At 35.0% G+C, this 23,482-nt stretch overlaps 1 protein-coding gene across 2 annotated transcripts in view, besides 1 other annotated feature; it reads right to left on the reverse strand.

Annotated features, from left to right (window-relative positions):
- The window catches only part of SEMA3A (semaphorin 3A), a 536,949-nt gene that overhangs the window by 248,073 nt on the left and 265,394 nt on the right, over nt 1-23,482 (reverse strand). The window lies entirely within an intron of this gene.
- Nucleotides 2,157-2,899: an enhancer, noted in NCBI's record as "H3K27ac-H3K4me1 hESC enhancer chr7:83835322-83836064 (GRCh37/hg19 assembly coordinates)". NCBI's record gives its function as "activates a minimal SCP1, AML or CMV promoter by ChIP-STARR-seq in primed H9 embryonic stem cells {active_cell/tissue: H9 hESC(primed)}" and the evidence as "EXISTENCE:reporter gene assay evidence [ECO:0000049][PMID:30033119]".

Consider the following 23,482-nt stretch of genomic DNA (forward strand, 5'->3'; position numbering starts at 1 on the left):
ACTAGTTGTTCATGCTTTTATGTTAAGCATGTATTGGAGTGTAGGCCATGGCATTAGAGAGAATTCTAAAATGCTGCTAAAATAACTACATTATAGTTCACAAAACAAAATATGTTTAGTTTCTCCTTCAAAACATAGGAAATTTCATTGTTATTAACTTTTATACAATTATATATCTCTTTTGAGATTAAAGACTCCTCTTCAGATTTACTATAGCCGGCGGACTATCACAGTATGTTACTCATATAGATAATAATCAAAATGAGTATTCTACAGTGTTTCTAAATGTGTAGTGTCTCCCAATGGTAATATTCTATTTTTTTAATTTAAAAATTAAGAACGATGGCTGTGAAACTCTCAAGAAATAAAGCACCACAATTGTGAAAATTCATGTATTATATAAGACAGAACATCTGGATTTAAGTCATAAGATCATAATTTGTAGCAATATAATATAAATGTCAGTTTATTTGTCTAGAAAGCAGTTGATCACCCCCTTTTCCCATCATGGCTGTCAAATGGGATATATTTTTTTATTGCCAAATACAAGGACATCGAGGATCCCACATTCCCTGACACTGTGGAGTCGGATTTTGCAGTCAAAGAGTTTGGGTAAGCTTCTGGGCATCAGAATTGAACATGGGGCATGAGAATATCATGTAGATACTGGGGAGAAAAATTAGTGACTCCGAAATGCCCTTTAGGAGAAACAGGAGGCAACTTCTTGAGAATCACTTGCCATAGGTACCACAAAGGCTAAATGAAAGAGAGGAGGATCTAGGCTCTTATTAATTTTATGGTTTGAAAAGTTGCCCTTTAAGTATTACATGATACATTTTAAATGTGCTAAATTTATATATCAAACGCAGTAGGTTTGACCATGAAGAATCAGATCATGTGTATTAAAATGTGAAGATTGGAGAGGGCAGTAGTAAGCAGAGAAACCATGACTTAGACTAACAAGTATGAGGTTGCCTTTGCTAATCAGCCCTGCAACTGTAGGCAGCTGCAAATTGAAAGAGAGCAACGTTTCACCACTTCACAAATTGCTGGTGACTCACTTGGCCAGATGTGCATTTGAGATCCTCCATCTTTTGTGGCTTGCACAGAAAGAATCGTATCTTTTATGGTAAATCAAGCCTTAAATTATTAGAAGACCCATTACTAGTACTAAATCCTCAACATGTGAGTGAGTTTTAATAACCTAAGTCACAAACTGCATGAGTTAGTGAGTATTTACATTTCAGAGCAAATTATTTTCCCAGATAAGTGTCATAGTTAACTTTAGGAAGCAGAGAAGTTAAGGTCAACAGGTGAAACACCTGTACAATTATTATGGGAATATCTCCTGCTACTATTTATATTTCAAGTCATTACATCTCATAGGTCAATAGCACTCTTTACTATTTTAACTACTCAACAAGTTTTGTTTCATGCTGTTTTCAGAACACTAGGGAATCCTGATTGGCTGGTAAATAAGTTAATTTTCCATTCTGGTGGAATTTTTACTATAATAGTTTCAACAGGAACATTCTCTCTTTACTTTTGGTATCATTGTTAAAATACCTTGGCAAAAACATGGCAATGATTACAGTTATGCAACTATCTTTTAACAGTTTCTCAGATCTGCAAATAGACACTGACAAAAATATCATTTAAATTCATAAGATGAATTCTTACAGATATCTAAATTTATAAAACAATTCATGTCCATATTTATTTTTTCATAATAATTTCCAGAAGTCTAGAAACAGTATAAAGTTAAGCATGAAAATATAATTGCCACAATCTGAATAGAATTACAATTCCTATGCATAAGTGTCAATCCATGGCAAAATTCCTAGATTTATTAGCTATAAGTAGTGTGATATATTCAGTAGACTTTAAAGAATCATGTTTTATAACACTATCCAGAATTTTGAAAGTTCATTCCTATTGTAGTCCCTCAAAAATACTGTTTCAAATGTATTCAACAGTACTTTCAAATGTGAATTCAATAAATGTGGAAAGCCACTTAGTCTCTTACTAAACTGAGTCTATCAGAAAGTGGTTCGAATGTCACTAATTATTTTATATGAATAAGCATGTTGTAGCTTTAAACAAACTTAGGCTTCAGTCTACTTTAAAACTAGAGTGCCAGGATGAAAATAAAGACCCTTCTTTTAGAAATAGAGATGATTGAGTTACATTTAACAAGATGCAGGATGTGGCACTTCAGCTATCTAACAGTGACGGGCTGTTTGCAACCCCAGCAGCTAGATCATATTGCCTTTCCCTCATACAATTTCAGAATAATTTCATAAAAATTACATGATTGACACTATGGCATTCTTCCCATTCTGATTTATTTAAATGTTAATACCTCCATAATAAATATATACTTTAAAAGCATTAAGAAAGAAAGTAAAATAAGCCAATTTTACTCTGGTGAATTTTTAAAATCTTAGTTTATTGTAGAAACCAAGATGGCATTTTTTTTTTTTTTTTTTTTGAGACAGAATCTGGCTCTGTCGCCCAGGCTGGAGTGCAGTGGCATGATCTTGGCTCACTGCAAGCTCCGCCTGCAGGGTTCATGGCATTCTCCTGCCTCAGCCTCCCAAGTAGCTGGGACTATAGGCGCTGCCACCACGCCTGGCTAATTTTTTCTATTTTTTAGTAGAGACAGGGTTTCAACATGTTAGCCAGGATGGTTGCGATCTCCTGACCTCGTGATCCGCCCGCCTCGGCCTCCCAAAGTGCTGGGATTACAGGCGTGAGCCACCGCGTCCGGCCTTCCAAGATGGCATTTTAGTCTAAGTAAAATTTACATTTATTGATTGCTCTGATTGCTGTTACTTATCTATTAAATGGTCTCGAACTCCTGACCTCAGGTGATCCAACCAGCCCAGCCTCCCAAAGTGGATACTATTAAATGGGTACTTTCTATTAAATGGGTATTTTCTATAGTTCTTTCTCGTTCAACTGCATAAATAAGTGACAGGATATGGTAAAAAAAAAAAATGAGTAAGATATTTTTCTATGTTTTGTATCATAGCAATTACATATTATAGTAAATATCCCTTTCTGTAACTCATTCTATCTCTACTTTGATTACCCACCTTTAAATATTCAATTATTTACAAAGTCTTCCAAAATTATTTATCCTAATTATAGGCACCCAAACAATGATTATCACTATTAGTTAAATCTCTATACATACAGGTGTTTGGGCATGTTTACACATGTTTACACATATTCATCCTGTCAGTAAAGTGCATATTTCATGAATATATTCGTCTTGTAGCACTGCTTTAATCGAGAGACCTCTTCAGTGGTGAGGCTCTTATGGCCTATTTCCTGTGAGGTTCCTAGTAACATTCCTTTCACACAATGGGTCCTCAACAAATGTAAGTGAATTACTTCCTGACTATTGTCATGGTTCCTGGGAGATGCAGGGTGGGGCTGACAGCAAGAGACAAAGCTGGCTGTCAAAACTGTTATTTAGATGAACAGTCAAAGTAGGATTTAAAACAAATTCTGAAGGTTTTCAGAACTCTGCCCATTCTATCAAATCCTGATTCAAATGATTCTATGTATTCCATAACCCACTAAGATTAATTTGAAAAACAAACCAGAATCAGAAAACTGGTTAAAGACCATTTTCTTACTTAAAATATAATTGCTTAAAAGGGCTATGTTAAGAAACTCTGTTTAACTGAAGAAATTACTGTGTTCTCTTTTGGGATGTGTGGAAGAGTAGTTTGTTTTAGGGTAATGAAATATGCTTAAATAATAGAATTTCATTACGTATAGGTTTGACAAAAATGGCTTTCATTTTGCCAAGTTCTCTGACCTATAAGCTAAAACTCAGGCATGATAAAATTTAAGAGGTCAAGTCATCTTCCTGTGGACATAGGTGTAGGAAAAATGTGTCTTCCTTTTCCTAGTAGGTTGGTGGGGCTGTTGCTATGGGAGGCGGGTTTCCCTGCAATTGAGCTGCAATAAAGAAAGACTGCTGTGAGAGAATAAGGCTGTGTGTGGAATGAGGACCCTAAAACAGTGAGACAGTGAGGAGATTGCAGTTATGTGGAGGTTTTTCTTCCTAAGATTATAAGGCATTTTAGTCTTGTGTATTTTATATATGTGTATATGCACACATGCACATGTATGCATACCTACACACATATGTATGCATATTTATGTATAAATGTATATGTGTATATACTTATATATACATGCATGCCTACATTATATACACACACATCCATATTTAATATAATTCAAAGTAGTTATTAAACTTTTGTACCAGGTTATATACTAAAATGTTAAGAATGGAAAGACAAGCCTGGCACTGTGGCTCATGACTGTAATCTCAGCACTTTGGGAGGCCAAGGGGGGCAGATCGTGAGGTCAGGAGATCGAGACCATCCTGGCTAACATGGTGAAACCCCGCCTCTACTAAAAATACAAAAAATTAGCTGGGTGTGGTGGCGGGCGCCTGTAATCCCAGCTACTGGGGAGGCTGAGGCAGGAGAATGGCGTGAACCCGGGAGGCGGAGCTTGCAGTGAGCCGAGATCCTGCCACTGCAGTCCAGCCTGGGTGACAGAGACTCCGTCTCAAAAAAAAAAAGAACGGAAAGACAAATGAATACATTCTCTGCCATCAAAAATTTGCAATTAAATGAGGGAGGCAATGTAAGACTAGCCTTTTAGAAATATACAGCAACCATCTACATGTCATTCAACTATAAACTTTAAAACATGGATAAAAGATAATTACTGTTATCTTTTAAAAAGTATTTAATTAAGCTGAGGTAGTTTCCAGTAATGTGTCATAAAGTAATTCTCTTCTCTACTGAATGATACAAACTCATGAGCGATTTCTGGCATCTTAAGTATAAGTGGAACAGTTGGCTTTGACCCATTTCCTTATTCCAAAGAATTACTCTCAGATTTCAGTCTTGCAAAAAGTGATAAAGGCTAGTTTCAGAAATCAGATTCAGAATACATAAAACTACAGGTTTCTTATTACTGCATTATACATGGATCTAAAGGTAAACACTATCACCTGAGTCTCATTACCAGCATTGGATACTGTGTATATGTAATGCTCTAGAAATTACATTCAACATCTAAATAGAATGTTATTTTATAACAAATGGACTAGTGGCCTATTTACACCTTAATTCAATTTTAAATATTTGTGACAAATACTTGCATTTTAGAATCTTATTGTTCCTCCAAGAGTTTTATTTCATGTATGCTATGGAAGAAACATCACTTTTCATACTTTCATTTTGTTACATATACCTGCATAGAATCTGGAATGAAACTACAAAGTAGAGAAGAACATTGTGTAACCACTTCTTAGTGATTCAGCTAATTTTAGAGTTTAGCCTTTTATATTACTCAGTGATCCAAGTAGGAATGACAACAAAACGATTCTATCATTTAATCACTCCATGTAGTAGGCTGTGTATGTGTGTATGTTTGTGCATGTATTTGTGTGAGTGCAGGCTCAGGTTTAGGCCAAATGCATAGATTATATTATTAAATAACAAATAAAGAGGCAGTACAGTATGATGAGGGAAACCCAACCTGAGTCCTATTTCCAGTTTGGGCACTAACCAATTATGTGTTGAGTTAATGAATTTCTTGGGGGCTCAGTGTCCTTTTCTATACATGAATGAGATGGATTAGATAAATTCCACCTTCTGTTCCTTCTTGTGCTGAAAATAGTATATCCAAAAGTGTACTTCAAAACCATAGTATAAAATGTATCACTTAAATTACTGGCAATATTTAATTATTTGGGTTAGGAGTAAGAATTTAATGGTTCATATTTCTTCATGTAAAACTGTAATTTTAGTTGGATAATAAAATGTAATGGCTGTTATATAATACTCTGCCATTCAAACTATTCAACAATAACTATGATAGCCCCAATAACAACATATAAATTTATTAAATAAAAATATTTGTAATATACTTCCTACACTAGACTCTGAAGTAACAACCTGGGATAAAGTCATTTACATGCTTCTGACATTAAAAATAATTGGTATGCTGCAGAAGAATTTGGCTGAAGTTAAAGTTTCTGGAGGGTGTCTACCATTCTTATTATTTTGGGAAGAAAGTTTACTTTTTTTCCTAAGGGGATCATTAGAGACAATAATGTACATGTTCAATTTACATTATTTTACTCAAGTACATCGAGATATTCACATAGCGAAAGAAAACCAATATTATTGATAATAATTTTATCCAACTTATTTCAATGAATAGTTATCATTTTCAGCCCTGGAATCATTTCCATACACTAAAGTATTTTTTTTGTGGGGAAGAAGAAAATGAATAAGATGTGATTCCTGCCCTTGAGGAGGTCCCAATCTAATGAGGGAAAGAGTTACATAAAAATAAAAAACAAATACAGCATGGTAATTGCTCAGATAACACAGATGATAGGCGCTGAGCCCAACTGGTTTTACAGGAGGCTTCCTGTGGGAGAGGGTGTCTGACTTGGGTCTTAAATGATGAGTAAGAGCAGGTGAAGAAAAATGGAAGAGGTCATTTCAAGGCTCAGCCAAAGTAAAAAAAGCCATAAAATAGGAGAGCGTGTGTGAGTGCAGGAAATGGGAACAATTTTGTCATTAACAGGGTATAAATTGCAAATAAATAGGAGAGAAAAGAGAAATCAGCAGGGGCCTAATCAAAAAGCATTGCTATAGTCATGCTTGTAACTGTAATGTAGGTGACGAAAGCCATGAAAGGATTTTAAGGAAGAGAATGCCATGGGCAGATTTTCTTTTTAGAAAACGGAATATGGTTGCAGTGTGGAGTGATGTATTTACTAGGAACAAACATGGAACTAGGAAGGCTATGCAGGTTTTCTCTTTTTTCTTTTTTCTTTTTTTTTTAGAAAAGGTATTTATTATTTACACCACTGAAACTAGTCCTGTAAGAACAATATACACCATGTTTCTTTAAAATGATTAATTCCTTTCAAATACAAGAACTTCATAAAGCAATATTGTCAACACAAAACAGTGGTAACATTACGTATCTGCAGGCTTAAGCATTGCAAATAATATTTTTTTTTAATGTTATGGCTAGATATTTTTACTGAAACAGTGTTAGCACTTAGACAAGATATATCTGGAACAGAACAAAAACTTTTTGTTCATGTTTTTTATGAATGAATCAGTGATATGTTCCTTTTAAAAATTTGTTGCCTTTAATTGCTTTTATGACAATGGTTTTAGGCAGATTCTACTTAGCCACCAAAAAGAGACTCATTCTCGTTCTTTAGTTTTTATTCTTCAGTCTATGTAGGTTTTTAATGGAATGGTCTATACCAGAGATGACTAAACCCCAAATCATAGCAACTGAATATGAAGAGAGAAGGCACATTAGGTTTGTACAAAGGAGGCAAATATGCTAGCCTTGGTGAAAGGTTGCGTAAAGAGGAGGATAAAGAAGTGGGATTTTAAAACATTTCTCAGCCGGGTGTGGTGACTTACACCTGTAATCCCAGCACTTTGGGAGGCCAAGGCGGGTGGATCATCTGAGGTCAGGAGTTCGAGACCAGCCTGGCCAACATGGTGAAACCCTGTCTCTACTAAAAATACAAAAAAAAAAAAAAATTAGTCGGGCATGCTGGTGCATGCCTGTAATCCCAGCTACTCGGGAGGCTCAGGCAGGGGAACTGCTTGGAACCCATAAGGTGGAGGTTGCATTGAGCTGGGACTGCACCATTGCACTGCAACCTGGGCAACAAGAATGAAACTCCATCTAAAAAAAAAAAAATTATCATAATTCCTGTTATTTGGCACAGATAAATGGAGACATTAACTGAGACCAGCAAGAAAAGAAAAGGTGTGAATATGCCTGAGGAGACAGAAAGCAGTTGAATTTTGAACTTGCTGATTTTGAGAAGAGTAACAAGTTTGTATTTTAGGTACCCATAAGCATTTGGGAATTCATTTAAAGCTCACATGCCAGAGACAAAAATTGGTCTATATGTGGGATTCAAGATCAATGTAAAGACAAAAAGTAGGCTGAGGACAGAACTCTGCATTGTGGTGAGGAACAGGTAAAAGAGTATAACTTTAGCTAGAATAATGAAACAACCAACCTGGGAAGAACCGGGGAAAGTAATGTCATGCATATCCACGTAGAAACTGTTACAACAGTCAGCCAAATATGGAAGACGAATATTCGGGAGCAGAGCATTGCATGTACTATTTGAAGGAGTTAGGTGGAAATCATAGGTACCCCATGAAGAACAGAGGTGGTAGCAGAAAAAGAAACCACATTGCAGTTGGTTTGGGAGACCAAACTACAAGAGAAATAATTAACTAATAATTCTCTGATTTTGACTAATCAGTGCTCTCTCTTTCTCAAATATAAAAAGATTTAAGAATTATTTTCTGTCCTAGAAGTTTGAATTCACAATGAAAGTGAAAATATTTACTCTAAAAACAAAAACTATTTAGAACACACAGTTTTTCATTTATCATCACCATATTGGGGAAATTAATTCTCTTTTCTTTTAAATGATTCAATTTCATCTACTTCTCCATTTCCCCAACAAGTGTTTTCACAGTCCTCTAACAGAAATTGATTCACTGATCACAATGTAATATTATGCCCTTAGCTTTGTTTTAGGTTGCTATAACAAATGATCTTATGAAGAATACTCTTACGATGTCTGCAAAACCACTATTCATTATACTAGTCAACATCTCAAATAATGACACACATGATAAATTTCTCCCAGAATTTAGTGCTAGAAAGTGTTTCCTCTGTTGGAGAACTGATATACTTATTTTTATCAGTAAATTAAAATGTATTTCCTTTTTAACCTTCCAGTGGATAGGAAGTTTAAAATGAAACAATGTGGTGTGGAAACCAGCTTTTTCACATTTCCTAGTTGGTAGCTGGAGTATATATTTTCCTTTCTTTTATGACTTTTCTTGTTCTGTAATAGCTTAATTGTTTATACATATCTGCATATGTGTGTTTATCAAAATCATTATCAAGTTTTATTAAAAATAAGTAGTACATAACAGCAATAAAAATATTAGTAATATATTATTTGGTTCACATTTTATTTCAGTCTCTCTTCCTTATTTCTTAATTTTTTCTTTTTTGAGACGGAGTTTCACTCTTGTTGCCCAGGCTGGAGTGCAATGGCTCTATCTTGGCTCATCGCAACCTCTGCCTACAGGATTTAGGGTTCAGGGTTCAAGCGATTCTCCTGCCTCAGCCTCCCTAGCAGCTGGGATTACAGGCATGTGCCACCATGCCCGGCTAATGTTGTATTTTTAGTAGAGATGGTGTTTCTCCATGTTGGTCAGGCTGGTCTTGAACTCCTGACCTCAGGTGATCCACCCGCCTCAGCCTCCCAAAGTGCTGGGATTACAGGCGTGAGCCATGGTGCCCGGCCTGTTTCTTAATTTTTTTTTAAGACAAGTCTTGCTCTGTCATCCAGGATGGAATGTAGTGGAGTGCAATAATAGCTCACTGCAGCCTCAGACTCCTGGGCTCAATGGATCCTCCTGCCTCAGCTTCCCAAGTATCTTGGACTACAGGCATGTACAACCACACTCAGCTAATTTTTATTTTTAAATGTTTTTTATAGATGAGGTCTCACTTTGCTGCCCAGATTGGTCTTGAACTCCTGGCTCCCAAGTGATCCTCCATCCTTGGTTTCTTAAAGTGCTGGGATTATAGGCATAAGCCACTGTACCTGACCTTTTCTTTATTTTTGAAGCTCCTATTTCCCTCCCATGCAAACATTGGCATAATAATAATTTGTGTAGTACCACTTTAATTAAAGATAAATCTTTCTCTATTTGAGTTTTCTCATCAGTTATTTTCTTCCTTTTTCATATATTTAATTCCAAGAAAATAGATGCAAAAGAATTTAATACTGGCTTAAAAAGCATTATTTATTAATTTATTATGCTTGTCTTAATTTTTAATTACAAAATTTTGAGCCTAGTACCAAATAGTACTTTCATTTCTAAAAAGGGAGGTTGCCCCAGCACTATCATGGAAATAGAGGCATTGGGCTATGGCCCTCAACACGACATCCAAGTGTGTTACTAACTTACCTTTTATTTGCTCCAAGTCATCTGCTTATAAGAAGAGAATATGATAGTTATGAAAATATGAGCATTGTGGTTTTGTGACATTTATGTTTCTCATTGTACCTTAAGAATAAACATTGCAATTGATTTCATGATAATAACATGCATCAGTTTTCAATGCCCACAATAAGCCAGACATTGGACTATGAATAGATACTTTTTTGTACAATAAGTTTAATCTCACAACAGTATGCTGCAATATATTAAAAAAAATTATCCCCATATTACCAATGACCAAACTAAGCCTGGGCAAATTAAGTAATTTTATGTCTGACAGTAAAGCTCCTATTGCATTTTTTGTTAACATTTCCTCTATACAGTTGCAACTCAGTTGGACTTACATTGTATGTCTCGTTAGATAATATAATACCAACATTATCTATATAAAGGATTATATTTTTTCAAATTCATCTCCCTTGTGAAATTGGGACAAATATTCTACCAGCACTGTTATTCTTTAAATTACATTTATTAGAATGATATAGATTCTTATACTCACAAAACATGATGAGGAAACATATTATTCCAACTTCCTGTATACAGGGAACAGTTGAATTATATACAATGTCTATCTTCTCACCTCAGAAGAGTTCCTAGGATAGAAGCCCTAAGCTCTGCATTCTTACACATAAATAATCAAAGGCCAAAAGCTGCTGTTCCCCCTGACATGCTCTCTAATTGCTACAGCTCTTTCCTGTATCTACTTAGAGCTTACTTTTTTTTTTTTTTTTTTTGAGACAGAGTCTTGCACTGTCGCCCAGGCTGGAGTGCAGTGGTGTGATTTGGGCTCACTGCAACCTCTGCCTCCTGGGTTCAAGCAATTCTCCTGCCCCAGCCTCCTGAGTAGCTGGAATTATAGGCACCTGCTACCACACCCAGCTAATTTTTTTGTATTTTTCATAGAGATGGGGTTTCACCATATTGGCCAGGCTGGTCTTGAACTCCTGACCTTAGATGATCCGCCCCCCCTTGGCCTCCCAAAGTGCTGGGATTATAGGCGTGAGCTACCACACCCAGTAGCTGGGATTCCAGGCGCATGACACCACGCCAGGCTAATTTTTTGTATTTTTAGTAGAGACAGGGTTTCACCATGTTGGCCAGGCTGGTTTTGAACTCCTGACCTCACGATTTGTCTGCCTCAGACTCCGAAAGTGTTGGGATTACAGGTGTGAGCCACCGCGCCTGGCCCTTATTTTATTTATTTATTTATTTATTTTTTGGACGTGGAGTTTTACTCTTGTTGCCCAGGCTGGAGTGCAATGGCGTGATCTTAGCTCACTGCAACCTCCCCCTCCTGGGTTCAAGCAATTCTCCTGCCTCAGCCTCCTGAGTAGCTGGAATTATAGGCACCTGCTACCACACCCAGCTAATTTTTTTGTATTTTTCATAGAGATGGGGTTTCACCATATTGGCCAGGCTGGTCTTGAACTCCTGACCTTAGATGATCCGCCCCCCCCTTGGCCTCCCAAAGTGCTGGGATTATAGGCGTGAGCCTCTGCACCCAACCCAAATCTTACTCATTTTGAATAAGACTGTGCTCTCCCTGACAACTCAATTTAAACCAGTAACTCTTTTTTCCTGTCCCCTAGCTCTATTTTAACCCACAGCCCTTATTGCCATCTGCCATATTATATGCCTTACTTGTTTATGTGGATTCTATTAACCTCCTCTATTAGAAATAACTCTCTATGCCACATCTGTTTTATTCCATATTCCTAGCATTTGGAATTGTGCCTGGGACATAGTAGGTATCACTAAATAGTTATTGGATGAATAAATTCATAGAATACCTAGTATAACTGGGGAAAATTAATGAACTAATTTTTCATTCACTCTGAAACAAATATTATTTTTCTAGGTCATGTGGAAAATATGTAGTCTTTTATAAAAGGGCAAAGACAAGATTGTAGTGTCAGTTAAAAATGTATATGTGTACATATAGATACACACACACACACACATAATTACCTCAAAATGAGAAATGAACTGTTAAACATTATTATTCATTTATTGAACAAATAGCTATTAAGGATGATCTTTTTGTCTTTTATTGAAAAGTGATTCCTCTGGTAGTAAAAAATAATCTATCCTTCAGAATTTTTTTATTGACAGAGCCTCGCTCTGTAGCCAGGTTGGAGTGCAGTGGCACGATCTCAGCTCACTGCCACCATCTCGGCTCACTGCCACCATCTTTGCTCACTGCCACCTCTGCCTCCTGGGTTCAAGCGATTCTCCTGCCTCAGCCTCCCAAGTAGCTGGGACTACAGGCGCTCGCCACCACACCCGGCTAATTTTTGTATTTTTAGTAGAGACGGGGTTTTACCATGTTGGCCAGGATGGTCTCAATCTCCTGACCTCATGACCCACCTGCCTTGGCCTCCCAAAGTGCTGGGATTACAGGCGTGAGGTATGTCACCTGGCCTCAGATTTTCTTATAGATAAGAGCAGTTGGAAGAGTAGCTCATTGCATTAGGATATTAAGAATCTATGGTGAATATTTTTTAAAGCATTTTTTCAAACCTGATCCTTTCTTCAGCTTGAATTTTACTGATATTTTTTAGATAGATTAAAACAGCACAACAGAAGAGTGACCTCAAGTTATGCCACTGAAAATAAGAAAGAAACTGTGTAACAGTCATGCCTCTGAGTCATGTTAGGCAGAATGACAAATGGACAATGATACACATAATGACATGGGAGTCTCTGGCTTTGTACAGAGGTCCATAAATATTTTGCACATGCTTGGAATACATGGACGTCCAGTTGACAGACTCTCCAAGAAAATTCTAAAATTAGATACTAGATCTAAATTGGTCTCAAGCATTTAATAAAAAGGAATGTCCTCAGAGGCTTTTAGGTCATCACACAAAGGGGTCTTCATTATGCTTTACTTAGCATTGCGCCTTGCAAGCCATTTTGGAAAAATTGAGTCAAAAGAGCTGAATATGAAGACATTGATTCACTTTCCCCCCATATTGCAATCAATTTGAATAGCAGCGGATATGCGATTCATGTTAATTGTGCCAAAACAGCAGCAGCATGAATGTTAAATTATTCACCATGTTCACAAACTGTCACATGGAGCAAATAGCCAACTATTCAAAATAATTGCAAAAAGATTGGCACAGCTGTAATGTGTTTTCAGTGTGTATTTTATATCCTCCTGAAACCAATGGTTAACGCAGAAAGGAATGCCTCTCTTTGATAGACTTAGATGGGAATTTAAATTTCATTCATAAGTGTTTCAAGCAAAAATTAATTAATTCATCTGTTTATAACTTCCTCCTCTCTAAAAAAGTAAAAATATCAAAATATTTCCAGGATAGAAGAAATCAGCAATAAAAAGTGAACCCTCAAAGATATGTTGATGATGCATTGACAGGTGCTTTGTCTCCTATGGTTAAAAGGAAACAAAGTCATTATTTCTAAATTGCAGCCCTGTCTATTTTTATGCTAATAAACACACTTGACCCTATATAAAAAATCTGTTTCCATTCTAAACATTATGTTATAATATGGCTTACTAAATCTACCATGTGCTGTGGTGTTTAAATGTGCTACATTTTGAAAAGATGAAGGGAAAAGATGGGGTATGAAGAGGGAATCACAGAAGAATAGGAGGGCAGAAATAAGAAAGAAGTAAAACAACTCAAGGTTTAAAAACTTTAAAGTATCTTTCTCAGATCTCTTGAGGCAAGAGTTCAATAGTTCAAGACTTCATTGAACTATGATCCTGCCAGGGCACGCTAGCCTGAGTGGCAGAGTGAGACTCTGTCTCTTCAAAAAAAAAAAAAATTATCCTCAGGCTGCTCAGGCTGGGTACCATCGCTCATACCTGTAACCCAGCACTTTGGGAGGCAGAGGCAGGAAAATCACTTGAGGCCAGCAGTTTAAAATCAGCTTGGGTGGGTAACAAAGTAAGACGCCATCTCTACAAAAAATTTAAAAAACATATTAGCTAGTGTGTTGGTATGCACCTGTAGTCCCAGCTACTTGGGAAGCTAAGGCCTCTGGTTAGGAAAAAAAAAAATTCTCTCATACAAGGTTAATTGACTTTTATCTTTATTTCAAAATGTCTTGGTGATATTTTTTGTATAATTTAATATAATTCTTACTTGAGAAAAAATCTTAAATGTTACATTTGTATAGTAGAATTTCAGATAAATGGTATATTTTGTTTCTAAATTGTTTATATTCAAAATCCTAAAATTTGAAATATTTTTGGTATGATTCCTTGATCTGCATATTGCAGATCTTTGGTCCTTGTCGATGGGATTTTTTAATACTAATAATGATTTAAAAATTTAAGATGTTTTATTATATAAAAAGAGTTTTGCCCCAACAACTAAGTTGCATATAGTACTTCAATCTGGAAAGCTAAATAAAGAGAATTAGAATTCTTAGACTTCCCATGAATTACATGATCTTATCTTCTGCATTCGGATAGATTAAGGATTATTGTTTCATAATCCCTAGTTTTCTTGCTTCCTAATAGAAAATTATGTATAAAAGACATAAAAATAATTTAGGCAAAATTGCTTAGAAACATCAAACTGAATATCAAAACCCCCAAATCTGCTCATTATTTTTTGGCCTCAATTCAATTTGATATTCAATTTGAATTTTTGCTATTCAGTTGGCCTTCATTAAATAATGGAGATGAATGACATTTTTTCTTAAAAATAAATAATGCATTGGTGATAGGTAGGGATTTCAACTGAGTATGGTAATATAAATGACACATTTAGCATGACCTTATCTTCCTATAGCTTGTCCCTTTAATTTTTCCTAACTTAGAGGAGACGACTCTACTCTGGGTGGTGAAGACATACAATATTCTATATTTAACCTCCCCATCATATTACTCTATGCCTTCCTATCTTCAGTTATGTTGAAATCATGCCTAACTGTCTTTGGCAGGATCCCAACAGGAAATTGACGACTCAATCCTACTCAAAATAGGAAACTTTGAATAAGGTTTATTTATTTACAAAGGAAATATTTCAAAAAATATTGGTATGGAGGATCTACAAAGCACTCACTACTCCTCTCAAGGAGACTGACTCTACATAATCCTTTCCCTCTGACTTCTAGTAACAGCTCCACATCACCAACAAAAGACTGATAAACCAGTGAGAATAAAATAAACCAGTGACAAAAAAATCATCTTCAATAAAAATTAAAAGGACCTTTACTAAAGATACTTAATTATTTATTCTTATATCTAATAATTTTATATTCTCACCTCACTTGCAAATAAAATGAATATGTGCAGCCTGTCAAAGGATTGGAAGTCTTTTCAGATGTCTGACAGAAGATCTTCAGAACTACTCCTTAGTATGATATAAGGTGGGAGAACATATCTAAGTGGATGTAGATCTACAGAGATCTTATTAAGGCTTTCGGTATAACTAAGTACACACAAAAATAGTTAAAGAACTAGCTATAGAACTTTCTGAGGAAGTCTGGCCTCATCATGTATAGTCATAACTCAGAGATATTGCAGGTTAGATTCCAGACCACCCCAATAAAGTGAATATCACAATAAAGTGAGTCATACAATTTTTGTTTGTTTCCCAGCACATATAAAAGTGATGTGTCAACTATACTGCGGTCTATTAAGTTTGAAAGCATTATGTCTAAACAAAAAATGTCCACACCTTAATTTTAAAATACTTTATTGCTAAAAATTGCTAAGAATCATCTCAGCCTTCAGCAACTAAAATCTGTTGTTTAGTGTAGTTACCTTCACTAATTATCTTAGCTGTATCTTCTGGATGACTTGTTGCAGCTTCTCCACAGCACTTGCTGCTTCAACTTGCACTTTTATGTTATGAAAATGGCTGCTTTTCTAAACCGCATGAACCAACCCCTGCTAGCTCTTTTTCTGGTGAAGGGTCTTGACTTAATGTTGACGGCTGCTGACTGATCAGGGTGGCAGTTGCTGAATTTTGGGGTGGCTGTAGCAATTTCTTAAACTAAGACAACAATGAAGTTCACCATATCCATTGTCTCTCCCTTTCATGAATAATTTCTCAATAGTATGTGATGCTGCTTGAGAGCATTTTAGCCCAGTGGAATTTCTTTCAAAATGTCTCAAACCCTGCCCATGCATTATCAACTAAGTTTGTGTAATATTCTAAATATTTTGTTATTTCAATAATGTTCACAGCATCTTCAGCAGGAGTAGAATCTATTTTAAGAAACCACTTTCTTTCTTCGTAGGAAGGAAATCCTCATCCGTAAAAGTTTCATTATGAGATTGCAGTAATTCAGTTACATCTTTAGGCTACATTTTTAATTCCAGTTCTCTTGATAATTTCACCACCCCTGCAATTATTTCCTCCACTGAAGTCTTAAAATCCTCAAAGTCATCCATGAGGATTGGAATCGACTTCTTCCAAACTTGTGTTAATGTGGATATTTTGACCTCACCCCATGAATTGTGAACGTTCTTCATGGCAACTAGAATTAATCATTTCCAGGTTTTGGATTTACTTTGACCAGATCCATCAGAGGAGTCACTATCAGTGGGAGTTATAGCCTTATGAAATGTATTTCTTAACTAATAAGACTTGAAATTCAAAATTACTCCTTGATCCCTGAGCTACAGAATAAATGTCATATTATGAGGCATGAAAACAACATTAATCTCCTTGCACATCTCCATCAAAGCTGTTGGGTAATGAAGTGCATTGTCAGTGAGCAATAATATGCTGAAAGGAATCTTGTTTTCCTGAGCAGTAGGTCTCAACAAAGAGCTTAAAATATTCGGTAACCCATGCTCTAATCAGACGTGCTGTCACACAGACTTCATTGTCCCATATGCAGTGCACAGGCAGAGTAGATTTAGCATGATTCTTAAGGGTCCTAGGATCTTCAGAATGGTAAGTGAACATGACCCTCAAGTTGAAATCACCAGCTATATTAGCTTCTAACAAGAGAGTTGGTCTGTGCTTTCAAATGTTGAAAACAGGTATTGACTTCTCCCTAGCTATCAAAATCTTGGATGGCATCTTCTTCCAATAGAAAGCTGTTTCATCTACTATGAAAATCTGTTTAGTGTAGTCACCTTCATCAATTACTTAGCTACATCTTCTGAACAACTTGTTGCAACTTCTGCATCAGCACTTCCTGCTTCACCTTGCACTTTTATTTTATGGAGATGGCTTCTTTTCAAGACCTCATGAACCAAACTCTGCTGGCTTCAAACTTTTCTTCTGTAGCTTCTGCACCTCTCTCAGCCTTCACAGAATTGGAGAGTTAGGACCTTGCTTTGGATTAGACTTTGGCTTAAGAAAATGTATCTGGTTTGATCTTCCATCCAGACCACTAACATTTGCTCCATATCAGCAATAAAGCTGTTTTACCTTCTTATCATTTGTGTGTTCACAGGAGTAGCACTTTTGAATTTGCTTCAAGAACTTCTTTGCATTCATAACTTGGCTAGATTTTTGGTACAAAAGGCCTAGCTTTGGGCCTATCTCAGCTTTCAACCTGCCTTTGTCACTAAGCAAAATCATTTTCTACCTTTTGATATAAAGTGAAAGAAGTGCAACTATTCCCTTCATTTGAACTCTTAGAAGCCAATGTAGAATTATCAATTGGCCTAATTTAAATACTGAAATTATTGTTCTAAAACAAAGTATTAGGAAGACCCTAGGAGAGGGTGAGAGATGAGGAAATGGCCAGTGAGTAGAGCCGTGAGAACACACATAGCATTTATTGATTAAGTTTTCTGTCTTACATAGGCATAGTTTATGGCATCCCAAAACAATTATAATAGTAACATCAAGGGTCAGTAATCACAGATCACCATAACAAATATAATAATCTAAAAGTTTGAAATATTGCAAGAATTACCAAAATGTGATACAGACATGAAGAGAGCACATGCTGTTGAAAAAGCGGCATCTATAGACTTTCTCTATGCAGTTTTGCCAAAACCTTCAATTTGTAAAAAAAAACACAATATCTGGGAAGTGCAGTTAAGTGAAGCATAATAAAACAAGATACGCCCGTATATCAATACCTAATCCTCTGTCATATGGTTCTCTACAGTATTACGAATATAATCTAGTCATTGCTTCCAAAATTCATTTTTATACCTCTGAGAGACTTCTCAAGATAGCAAGACATATGCCAAGGGAAAAAAACTTTTTCATTGATTATCATCTTGCACCCTATGCTATTAAATGAAAAAATGATCTAACAATATTTGAATTAAAATATAAAGGGAATTAAATTTTTAAGTTTTATATCTGTGACACTGAATATAACCTCTAAATTATAAATATCATGTCCTATCTTCAGGTATTCTTACACTTATAAATAAAGCAGAAGTGCATAGTCACCAATGATAAATACCTAGATGCAAGACAGGTTACCATGACTTTTCTCAAACACATTAAAATAATAATAAGGAGTATAGGACAAGCAGGAATAGCTATAAGCAGGCTAATCCATCATTTGTAATATTGTAAGCAGATAAGATAAAAAAGAATGACAACATTTAAAATTTCATATTTCCTTAGCAATTGGCATAACTGTTTGCTTGGAAATGACACTTCCTAACAAAGCAGCCTATGAAGAATTAGTTTTACTTTTGTTCTAAAGCTTAATATTAATTGTAAACATATGGTAGATTTTCCCTAAGAAAAATGCATATATTTTATATAAACAACAATTATTTTTTAATTGCAATAAACTTGGTTTTAATACAGAAATGTTTATTGATCCTAAGTAAATATTGTCAGCCTTATTCATTTACCCATTAAATCATTATTCAAGCACATAATGCCAATAATGTTGCCAAGCTGTTCAAGGGCAACGGTTCTCAAATTTTGCTATGTTGGTATCACTAGGGAAGCTTTTGCAAAATACAAATACATAGAAACTTGCTCATTCAGGATCCAAAGATGTAGAACATAATTATCTGTTCTTAATAAGTTCTTCAGATGATTTCTACACCAGAAACAGATTAAACAAATTAAAATGCTTCTCAATATAAAATCTTAGAATTATTTCTGGACACATTATATAGGTACAACAAATATTGTATAGCAGGTTCCTTTGGCATGGCAACTTACAAAACAGATGTGGACTAAGAAAAGATTTGCACCTTCATTAAAACTTTGAGGACTAAAGACAGGCAAGGGAAGATCTTTGATAAAAATAATGCTAACAATAAGAAAAGTGCCAGAGTCTCACCAAAGTTTAGTTAATGTTTCACGAAGAAGAAATAGGGTAAGAAGAAAAACCATCAGAGTAGTAAGTAAAGCTGCTTTGTTACCTCTCTCCATATAGAGGTGTGTATGTATGTTTGCATGTGTGTATGCATGTAAATGTGTGTGTGTGCATGTATATACATATATATACACACATATTTGCCCAACACATTACATTATCTGTAATATTGTCTTTGTGATCAATGGAGAGGTTAAGCCACTGACAAAGTTCAAATCTTACTGATAGAATCTCTTTTTAATATCATGATTCTTTAATGTTTTAGAAAATAACAAACTTACTTGATGAGATTGCATATAATTACATACAGAAAAAGCAAAAATTTAAGCTACTTATGTTTCAAAATTCAACTCAATATACAGTGTGTTTCTGTATGTAAGAGTTAACCAGTTAGAATGGGGATTCTAAAAACCATAGAAAACAGGCTCTGAGGAGGAATACTTTATATGTATTTGAAAAACTAAGGCTTTAACATATGAAACCAATATAGGGAATAAAGATAATAAAATTAACATGACATGTAGAGAATTCCAGATATCATGAACTTTAGGAAAGATAAGATGATATCATAGTTTAGAAATAAAATGGAAATCTTAACTGAACCCAGTTGCAGAGTTCACCAGGAGAAAACCTTACGGCTTATATTACATACTTCTATTGAAATAAATGTCCAGGCATACATAAGGATAATTACAAGAATAAAATCTTGCCAAAAGCAAGGACCAATATGGAAATAAAAGTGCATGGCCAAGGAATTTCTTTAAAAAGCTTCTATAGAAATGTATATTTAAAAAGGGGTTAATAGGATAATTTATTGAAATTGTACATTATTAGATATTGAGAATAAACAAAATGAATTATAATTTTCTCACACATTTCCCCCATCTTTAATTTAATCATTCATTTGCCCTGTATTCTACATGTCCTATTTCATACTAATTTAAAGGCGACTAATTTATACCAAAGGATAGAGGAGAGCATTAAAGTGACCTATGTAAGAGATGACACTCATAAATCAATTATTGGTGTTTCATTTTTTATCTGAAGGTCTAACTCAAAAGATATTGGCTTTGCCTACAATTAAAGTTTTTTACTTTGTAAATTACAGAAAAATTCAAATATTACAGTGTTAATTGTGTTCTCTGTGTGACAGAAAGGAATTTTAGAGATGATCTTCACAACTCAAATTTTCTGGATTTAATTATTTATAAGAAATTGTCTGGTAAACACACCAAAGGGTAAGAGGTCACTTAATTTTTTGCTCTATTTATGTTTTAAAAAAAACAGACAACATCATGATGAATGAGTATTGACCCAGAGCTAAAACATTCCCAGGAAAATATACATTATGAACTATACACAATCCATTAAACAAGACAAAGTCCATTCCATTTTAGTTTCTTTCTAGGCAGTGTGAGGAAAGAGAGAGATTTAAGACACCTTGAGCACCCTTTCGAGTGCCACTAATGAAATAAATAGTATTTGTTGTCACATCACCCACTGGGAAGTAGGTGTGATTTCATGCTTTTTCATTTGTCACTCTCCAGTTGAATAACGGTTCTTTTATAGACAGACCTTTTTCCCATAGCTGGTAACTCTACATAGAAGTTAACTGATTCATTGGTTTTTCCCTAGAATCTGTGGATCCTTGGGATAGCAAGCCATCAATACTGCATATTATTAGGTCCAACTCCTGCTATGAAAATAAGATGATCCTGCTTTATAGCCCCCCCTAGTATATGTAATGGAACTCTATGTCATTAGAAGGAGCAAAGTTGAGGAAGAAATGAATTACAAAGTATAGAATGAGAATAAGTTTCTTGTAGGCCTAATAGGAAATACTTTAAAATAGTATTTTTGTGCTTCACAGAAAAGTTAAATTTATTTTTCTAATTGGTTACACATCAGTGACTTCTAATTCTATGTCTCATGATTCTCAGATTTAATACAATTTTAGAAAAGTATTGCACATAGTGTAAAGAGAGATAAACCATGATAAAGAGATCTAAGTTTGTGGTCACTGCTCTGTAGAACATGAACAGCATGTAATTCAATAATTAAACATTTTATCATATTGCACACATTGTGCTTGACCTTGATGTGCCAGAAATTGTTTCTTATGGGGAAAAGATGACACATCCAAAGTTGTGGTAAGAAATTAAAAATCCCCAAACCAGTTTATCTATTTAGAGAAAGCAAGATTATTGCTTTTGCGTGACCCATACGAAAGTAACGAAGTAGGTCTTGGAGGTTTGTTGATCTGCCATTAGTGGAATATCTCTTTCACAAGCAACAAAGAATGAATGCAGAAGAGGTGTCTGGCCCTCTTTGAAAAGTGAGGAGGCTCTGTTTATAAACTAAAGAAGTTGTTTTTAATATCTTAAATCTTGTGCAACATATTCAATGTGTTTGCCTGCATCAATCACCCCGAGGGCCAAATGTAAATTCCTAGGTCATCTCACGGAGGCAACACAAAGACACTCACACAGTATGTGCTCTACCTTGTGGAGAAGCATGCAAGAAAGGTGCGTGTAGGATGTGGACATAATGGTATAAAAGAATTCTAGGCAGCTAGAGTGGGATAGTAGGAAGTGGAAAGAAAGTGAAAAGAATAAGATAACGTGCTGTCTACTTTACAAGCAGTTGCATGAAGATTAATGGGCTAATTTCAGAGAAGCACTTAAACAGTTGTGGATGCCAAGTTTAAACATTATTATTTATTAGTTGGCTATGTGGTAAATTTCCCCTGAGAGCACAAGTGAAAGCCATATAAAAATGTATCTTCTTATTCAATTTCAATATGCATATTGCATATATGGTAGATTTTAATTGTGTAAGAGCGTTTGGAAAGATAGTATATCATCTTGAAGTAAGTCTAAGAGAAAAATTATATTTTTCCAAATATGTAAGCATAATCAGTATTCCAGGGGTGAGGAATCAGAAATTAACCATTAAACAAGACATTCTGTCCCTAGAGAACAAGATTCAGGACAGGGAACATAAATTCAGAATGGTGTTGTTGGGAACAGAAAAGGTGTCAGAAATCACACATTTTGCCATGGACTCCCCTATAAGAAAGTCTTAAAATAAAATGTCTTTAAATGTACAAGTAGAACCCATAAAGCTTTACAAAAACTAAAAAAACAGAGGCTTAGAGAACCCAGACTTTCAAGTGTTATGGAGAAATTCTGAAGCACTTTGAAAATTTGTCTACAATAAAATTATAAGGCATAGCAAACAAGAATAAGTGTTCATGCAGTAAAAATCATATCTATAACTTTTTCAATGTAGTTTGTTACCCACGAGAGTAACCAAGAGGTTAAAATATATTATCACTCTTTAAAATAAGTGTGATTTTTAAAGTGCCACATTGTAGTTGGGCAAAAATTTATAGCCAATATTGTAGTCAAAATATCATATTCCAATTAAAAGCCAAAGAGCCAAATATTTACAATCTTTCTGTATTTTCTATTCACATAGCTATGTTCTATAATAAATATCCAACACTCACTCCACAGTAACCAATATCTGAAGTTCAAAAAGCAAGATAATTTTGGTATACAGTTTTCAAAAACATCTAGTAGAAATGACATATTATTCTATTCCTAATGGCTGTGGCATTTTGGAAATGAAGATTTATAGTCAGTTATCATTGCCTATAATTATAGAGATGCCATTAAAAACCCTCTGTGCATTAAATATGCCTCACTGATTCAACCCTCATTATTTAACGCTTGAGGATTTTTCTTTGTAGGATAGAGAGACAATAGAAATGAGAGCAGCTATGCTGTACAAGGTTAATTTGTGAATGATAAATGAGTGGTTTAAAATGAACTGCATAGGTTACAGTTTAAACAGGTTTTGGCAGAAAACCAGTTTTCTCTATTGGCGATATCTATTTATATCTATATAGATATCTATATATCTATCTATATATGTATCTATATATCTATATCTATATAGATATCTATAGATAGATAGATATGAAGAAGATTCAACAGCCAACAGCACAGGAGAAATGTAATTGACTAATGTAGGAAGTCTTTCTTGAGACAGATTAAAGAGTTTATCAAGATATTTTTCAATCTCAAAGCAGCCAAGAT

The sequence above is a fragment of the Homo sapiens genome, chromosome 7 (genome assembly GCF_000001405.40).
Source record: "Homo sapiens chromosome 7, GRCh38.p14 Primary Assembly".
Taxonomy (NCBI): domain Eukaryota; kingdom Metazoa; phylum Chordata; class Mammalia; order Primates; family Hominidae; genus Homo; species Homo sapiens.